Source organism: Homo sapiens, chromosome 6 (assembly GCF_000001405.40).
Source record: "Homo sapiens chromosome 6, GRCh38.p14 Primary Assembly".
Lineage (NCBI taxonomy): Eukaryota > Metazoa > Chordata > Mammalia > Primates > Hominidae > Homo > Homo sapiens.
Genome location: NC_000006.12, coordinates 168,385,431 through 168,393,304, shown reverse-complemented (window position 1 = coordinate 168,393,304; position 7,874 = coordinate 168,385,431). Strand labels below are relative to the sequence as shown.

General features: G+C 55.0%; 2 annotated features.

Annotated features, from left to right (window-relative positions):
* Positions 1,700-2,200: an enhancer, noted in NCBI's record as "H3K4me1 hESC enhancer chr6:168791785-168792285 (GRCh37/hg19 assembly coordinates)". NCBI's record gives its function as "activates a minimal SCP1, AML or CMV promoter by ChIP-STARR-seq in primed H9 embryonic stem cells {active_cell/tissue: H9 hESC(primed)}" and the evidence as "EXISTENCE:reporter gene assay evidence [ECO:0000049][PMID:30033119]".
* Positions 2,201-2,701: an enhancer, noted in NCBI's record as "H3K4me1 hESC enhancer chr6:168791284-168791784 (GRCh37/hg19 assembly coordinates)". NCBI's record gives its function as "activates a minimal SCP1, AML or CMV promoter by ChIP-STARR-seq in primed H9 embryonic stem cells {active_cell/tissue: H9 hESC(primed)}" and the evidence as "EXISTENCE:reporter gene assay evidence [ECO:0000049][PMID:30033119]".

Sequence of the window (7,874 nt, the reverse complement as noted above, 5' to 3'; positions counted from 1 at the left end):
AGGGAGGCTTGCCAGGAAGCTGGAATGTGGACGAGCAAGGCGGGGGAACCCTCACTGTGACACCCTTCTCTGAGATGCTGTATCTGTTCCTTGGAAACCGCCAGAAGGGTATGACGGGGACACCGAAGCGTTCCTGTCCCCAGAGGCTTCCCGCTCTGAGCTCCTAAGTACAAGCTGAAATCTCTAAATCTGTTTTTTGTTTGTTTGTTTGTTTTTGAGATGGAGTCTCTCTCACCCAGGCTGGAGTGCAGTAGCATGATCTTGGCTCACTGCAACCTTCGTCTCCCGGGTCCAAGCGATTCTCCTGCCTCAGCCTCCCGAGTAGCTGGGATTACAGGTGCCACCATGCCCAGCCAATTTTCTGCATTTTTAGTACAGACGAGGTTTGGTTTCACCATGTTGGCCAGGCTGGTCTCGAACTCCTGGCCTCAAGTGATCCACCCACCTTGGCCTCCAAAGTGGTTTCCTTATCCAGGAGTGTGTTCAGAGCCTTGGCCTCCAGGGATGTGCACATTGCCATTTGTCAATATTCTGTCTGAAACACTGGGCACAGGGAGAGTAGATTTCTGGTCCTGAATCTGTCTGGGTGAGGTTGACTAGTGCAGCTTCTCAGTATAAGGGAGGAGTACCTGGAGCTATGAAAAAAAAATGTATGAAACTACCAGAGCCCATGGCCAGGCCTACTATGTGAGCAGGAGGTGAGGAATAAGACAGGTGTGCTGGGGGATGAGGACAGGACGGGTGTGCTGGGGGATGGGCACAGGACGGGTGTGCTGGGGGATGGGCACAGGACGGGTGTGCTGGGGGATGGGGACAGGACGGGTGTGCTGGGGGATGGGGACAGGACGGGTGTGCTGGGGGATGGGGACAGGACGGGTGTGCTGGGGGATGGGCACAGGACGGGTGTGCTGGGGGTAAGGGACAGGACAGGTGTGCTGGGGCATGAGGGATGGGACAGGTGTGCTGGGGGATGGGGACAGGACAGGTGTGCTGAGGCATGAGGGACAGGACAGGTGTGCTGGGGCATGAGGGACAGGACAGGTGTGCTGGGGGATGGGGACAGGACAGGTGTGCTGAGGGATGAGGACAGGCCAGGTGTGCTGGGGATGAGGACAGGACAGGTGTGCTGGGGGATGGGGACAGTACAGGTGTGCTGGGGGATGGGGACAGGTCAGGTGTGCTAGGGGATGAGGACAGGACAGGTGTGCTGGGGATGAGGACAGGACAGGTATGCTGGGGGATGGGGACAGGTCAGGTGTGCTAGGGGATGAGGACAGGACAGGTATGCTGGGGGATGGGGACAGGATAAGCGTGCTGAGGCATGAGGGACAGGACAGGTGTGCTGGGGGATGAGGACATGACAGGTGTGCTGGGGGATGGGGACAGGACAGGTGTGCTGGGGGATGAGGACAGGACAGGTGTGCTGGGGGATGGGGACAGGACAGGTGTGCTGGGGGATGAGGACAGGACAGGTGTGCTGGGGGATGGGGACATGACAGGTGTGCTGGGGCATGAGGGACAGGACAGGTGTGCTGGGGATGGGGACAGGACAGGTGTGCTGAGGCATGAGGGACAGGACAGGTGTGCTGGGGATGGGGACAGGACAGGTGTGCTGAGGCATGAGGGACAGGACAGGTGTGCTGGGGATGGGGACAGGACAGGTGTGCTGGGGGATGGGGACAGGACAGATGTGCTGAGGCATGAGGGATAGGACAGGTGTGCTGGGGATGAGGACAGGACAGGTGTGCTGGGGCATGAAGGACAGGACAGGTGTGCTGGGGGATGGGGACATGAGAGGTGTGCTGGGGGATGGGGACAGGACAGGTGTGTTGGGGATGAGAGACAGGACAGGTGTGTTGGGGCATGAGGACAGGACAGGTGTGGTGGGGGATGAGGTCAGGACAGGTGTGCTCTGGGTGCAGGGGTGAGGAACTGGGTTAAGCAGAGGGCAGAGCTGACCTCCCAGCCCGCCAGACATCCCCCAGGGCCTGCCAGGAGGTGTGGGTGGTCTAGAAGCCCTGCGTCTTGGAGCGAGGACTCCAGAGCAGCTTTGTTAGTTTTGCTCCCCATGCTTCCTGTCATGGGAACTCAGGAAGCTGCCCTGGGCTCCAGGGCTTCACCTTCTGTGCTCACTCTTCCTTGTTGTTATTTGGACAGGGCACTGCTTTGTTCAAACACAGGCTGCCCTTGGGAGGGCCCCTGAGGGGGCTCCCGGGTCTCAGGACCTGCCCATCTCTCTGGGCATGCTGCTGCACCGCTGCCTTTGCTGTGAGGTCGCTTGGTCCCTCAGGAAGGAGGGCGGGTGGCTAAAAGGAGGAGCAAGTGTGGGGCATGCGTGCGTCAGTGGGGCTCATGACGAGGTACCCTGACCAGCGGCCAGCAGAGCCTGCATCATGACAAACTGCACCAGTGACAAAGTCAACCTGTCCCAGCCCCAGGGAAGGTAGCGCTGGAGCCTTCCCAACAGTGGCTGGTGCGGCGCCCCAGGCAGTCCAGGGCAACAGAGGGTGGGTGAAACACCCTCGGGCAGTGCAGCTTATGCGCCTCAGGATACGGATTGGTCAGTGTGATTGATCACTGTTTAACCAATTCCTGCTCCTCTGGCCCTTCCACAGAAACCAAAACCGTGGGTCTGCTGGCAGAAGCAGGAGGAGGGAAACCAGCAGGGGCCCCATTGATGCACAACCCATGTTGTGAATTCCCTTATTTTTGTCAATAGGGCCCGATTTTTAAAAATTAACAGCGTGTAGGTGAGACTGTGGTTGTAATGAGGAGGAGAGGGAGGCCATGAAGAGAAAGGGAAAATGAGGCAAATAGGAGGTGACGGGGCACCAGCAGGTGCAGGGAACCTCGCCCCAGCAAACCTCATTTCCTTGGCTGAAAAAGGAGAGATCATTGAGTCCCTGGGGTGAGTAAGGAGGTACTGGAAATTACCATTTCCTGGAGGGTGGCAGTGAATTCAAGTCAGAATCAATCCTGAGATGTGGCCACACGCCCACCAGGGCTACAGGAATACAACTAAGCTTTCTCTATTTTACTTTAGAGAAATTGCCAGAGATCTCCAGTGTAATTGCTGAGAGAAGGACATGTACAAGGGAGAAGCTCAAAACTGCCCTCACAAGAGGGGATGGGTTTCGTAAATTACAGAACAAGATTCGTGTGGGATATAGGAAAGTTTTCAAAGTATGGAGTCAAGAGAAAATGTTCAAGTCTGGTCTCAGCGTTGTTTTTTGTAAGTGTATTTACACAACACCCACAAGTGTGTGCCGTTATAAAGAAGCTGGTGTCTGTACCTGAGGATTTCGAGTCGCCCTAGCCCCCTGAGTCCTGCGCTGCTTCCTCCTGTAACCCCCGCAATAGCCCTGGGGGTGGTTCCTAGTATTAATATCATCACCCTCGAAATGAGTGACCTGAGGAAGTGCATGTTACCTGGCAACTCAAATTCATTCCTTTGACGTAAAGCACGTGTGCTCACTGCCTCCTTGGTGTGCATACAGTGTATTCATGCGCGTGCCTATGTTTGCATGCATGTGTGTATTTTAGGAAATAGATCAAAATTTGAAGAGACTTACAGGTGTTAAGATGATAACACGTCTTCTTCCCGTTCTTCCTCCTTCCAATTCAACTTTTCTATGTCCTCTTTTAAGTCTGTACTACGTTGTAATCAGAAAACACGTTCAGCTGAGAAGCAAGGATTGGCAACAGCATCATCGGTTTGAGGCTGCATACACGGACGGAGCTGGTTGGCCTGGTCTGGGCTGGGAGCAGCTGGAGAACAGCTTCCAGTGGTCAGCTGGGCAGCTCCCCCTCGGCTAGAGGATGACCCATCTTACGCCTATGGAGAACACTGCGGAAATCACAGCAGGGGAGGTTTAAGCCCTCTGGGCCTCCCTCGTCGGGCACAAAGGTGTGATGGTTTCCTCTGTTCAGGTGTGAGGATAAAGGCGGCCAGGGATTCAGGAGATGGCGGGAGCAGCAGGTGCTGCCGGGTCAGGAGGCAATACTCTCCTCCCACCTCCAGGGGCCAGGGCGTCCCTGGGGTCAGGTGAGGAGGGCAGGCAGAGGCATGAAGGCCTCTCACCCCAAATTTTCATGCTGCGACAGAGGCCCCGAGGCCATGGCAGGCAGCAAGCCCCCTCTCCCTCCGCACCCTGGTGCAGACAAACTGGTCACTTCAAATTCCCACCTGGAAACAGGACACTGGGTTTGGTTTCAGGAGACAGCTGACCTGACCACGTACCCCCGTAGCAGCCGGAGCTACTGCCTGTCCGTCTGACCCAGCCCGGGCCCCGGTGGTTGGACTTGGCCACTGCTCTCCTCGCACCTGCGTCTGGTTTTGTTTACTCATTTGTGTAAACAGCACACAGCTCTGTGCGTGCTGGGATTTCTACATCCGTGTGTCTTAGGAAGGTTTGGTTTCCCAGGAAACAAGGGTCTGAGTGAAGGTGGTTACTGTGGGAGGTGGTCCCGGGGTGTGAGCCGGGGATGGGCAGGGAGGAGGGGTGTCATGAGTTGCCCACGTGGCGGCTCTGTGGGACTCTGGGCACCAGAACACAGCATGCACCGTGGGCTTCCTCCCACTAGCAGGCCTGGCTCCCAGCACCCCGGCCTGCCTGGAGCAGAGCAGGAGGCCCTGGCTGAGGCTGCAGCCTCAGGATCCCTGGGAGCTGCCGCCAAGGCCCGAGGAGACACCGGGCCCCTGACCAGGCTGCCACCACGTGTGTTCAACCTCATACATGCTCAATACACTCCTAACAAAAGACTATCAGAAACTTGAACAAATCTTACTGTGTAATAATTTTGGGAAATGGCTAACTTTTCATGTGCACCCAGAACATGGCGATGCTATTACAGGAAATTAAAATATTTTAAACAACAGAATATTCTTTCAACCAATCTCATTTCAAGGGCAGAGACCAAGACTGTCCTCAAGTTGTGTAACGGACAGAGCTGGCATACGATGGAAGCTGTAAAGACTGAGTTTAGTTTAATATACCCAGGTAACGCTCTGTCTCTGTATGTGATGTGGGTATTTTCTGTATATTACAGTAGCTTAGTTTCTTACTGGCTGTTGAGTTTTTGGTTTGTCGACTCAAAAGTCACTTCCAGGGCACAGTTGACGGAGGCGATGTTGAATGCACAGCCCGAGTGTGTGGTCGGCCGGCTCCCGCTGCAGCAGGCGACCCTCCGTATGGACATCCTGCCTGCGAGGCCAGCAGCTGTCACGAGAACAGAGCGACGATTGACGATGCCGAGCTGAACGACAATGGAGCAAAGCAGCATTTACTTCAGCACAGTAAGTACACAGCCATCATCGAAAACCTAAAGTAGAGGTTTCCAAACTTTTTTTTTTACCCTCAGACTCAGATTTCTTTCTTCAAAAAAAATCTTGCCCAGAAATGCCAACAAACAAAATAGATAAAGCAGGGCTCTCCCTTCTGAGGCAGGCCTGGTGGCCGGAGCTAGGCCACCCTCTCCTCCCTGGGGACCTCCAGGCTTGATGGAGCCCCTTCAGTGGACAAGTGGAACCACAGGCCTGAGAAGCTCTGCTGGGGACAGAGGCTAAACAGAGAGAAGGCCCCAGGCTTGGGCCAGTTCTACACAACGGGCAGCTGAGATGGAGGGACGCCTGCATCCTGCCGGCTTCCTCCACCCAACGGCCCCTGCTGACATGTGTCCCCATCTCCTCACACTGCCCTGGCCGTCCACTGCCCTGCGAGGCCTCTGAGGACAGAAGAGGAAGAGAGCTGCAAGGCTGGCACGGACACAGCCCCATCCCCTGCGGTTCCTTCAGGGCAGGTCCTGCTCTGTGTTCACCAATGGTGGCTGCGCAGTCCCACCCTGGGAACCTCAGTAAACGTCACCCACTGAAGACTCAATGCTCAGGAGGTGGCCAGCCTGCACACAAGACCTCCAGGACCTCCTGCACTGAATTAAAACTCAGGATGGGAAAGGCTCCCCAGCCCTGGAGCCCTGACAGGGGTAAGCCCCCGAGACCCCAGTTCTGCCCAGAACTAGCCCTGAACTTGGATGTGTGCAGGCACTCAAGGCAGGGGTGGACCAGCACATGCCTGCAGGGGCTTTAGTTTAAATGTATATGATGCATATATACGATGAACACACATGTATACACACGTGGTGTATACACATGCGGCATCTGCACACGACGTAAATGCACCTGGCGAGTACACACGTGGCATATACATACATGCCCTGCATATACAACATGGCACATACACGCATGATATACACACACATGATGAGTTAAAACCAGGCAGGAAATTGCCTGAGGTGGCCCAGCTGGAGGAGGCCTTTGAAGCCAAGCACAGGACCCTCCATTAAAGAAGAATGACACCAATGGTCACAGCAGTGCTGGTGCACACAGGAGGAGAGCGGGCTCCATCCCTCACGTCCCCTTGGGTCACAGAAATGCTGGTGAACAGTGGTGGAGAGGGGGCTCCACCCCTCATGTCCCCTTTGCTGCTGTTTGCCTTAATTATGTGTTTGCATCCACAAAACTACTTTTGGATTCTGTGACTCAAAGAAATGCAAAATTAAAAAATAAATCTGCAAAAGTCCACCTGGTTTTCAATCAAACCTGTCTTTCCTTCCACCCTCACCCCTCCTAAAAGAGAAAGGAAAGCTGTTGGGTGAAGTGTGGCTCCCAGTCAGGGACAGGGATCAGCCCAGGTGTGCGGCAAGCCCAGCCAGATGGCTGGAAGCGCTGCCAGGCTGTGGTAGGGACTCACAGGAAGGTGGTGCCCTCAGCCAGCCTCCAAGGGTGTCTCACCAAGGGTTAGGGATCTTCCAGCATCCCCAGGCCAAATGTTAGCAGAAGGTCCCACAACCTCCAGTGCAGTGCCAGGTCTTTTTTATAACCTGAAAGCAAGAATTCAGCTTGTTTCTGCAAGAACGGCTGTAACAGCCCAGCAGCCTCCATGGGACACGTGGGACACACATGCAATGCTGTCCACATTCACATGTGTGTACAAAGCACCATGTTCTCTCACACACTTCAGACCAGGAGGAATGGGTGACTGACAGTTTCCAGTTTAAGGGGCCTGGGGCTATTTGTCCCTGTTGACTTCCAGCTGGGAGGAAAAACTGGCACAAGGAGTGTGTGAGACAAGCCCCACACCTGAGCAGGCACACCTGGGTGGGCACACCTGTGCGGGCACATGCACTGCAGCCCACCTCGGCCAAGGCCTCCAGCTACCAGCAGCTTGGCAGGCAGCTCCCATGGCTTTGCAAGACCTGCAGCTGCAAAGCCAGAGCCAGACCCACCGGCAGACACAGAGGTGCCCTGCTTGCTGGGAGGATGCATCCGAATTATTTCTGTGTGCCAATCCCCAAAGGTCCCTGTCTCTCAGAATGTGAGCAAGACCATGGTCTGGCTTCCCACGGGTGGAGCAGAAGGCTTTCCACATGGTCCTGCCAGGGGCACAGATACTCCATCCCCTTCCCAGATGAAAATGCAGACCTCCTTGGTTTGGCATCAGAGCAAAGGCAGAACTGGCACTTGGGCGATCCACGAACCACGCAGGCCTCTGCTCCTGCCCTTTCTTGTGCATCAGAATTCGGGACAGGACAACTTCACGATATTACATGTGCGCTGGGACACTCAGTTGCTATGTCCACAGGCAAATTCAGTGAGGTTCCTAAATATTCCCCAAGGTGTTGATTCACAGCCGGCCACCTTTCCAAAATTGTTTTCATAGCTCTTCCGCCCACTTTCGTTTGAGATGGAATTATGCCCAGATTCAGCGGGGGCAGCTCCACCAGCCACTTAGCTTTGTTTCCCTCCTCAATGCTTTCAAAGGACGTGTGCAGTCTCCGTAAAGCAGCAAAAAGATTATATTGGGCCTCTCGAAAGA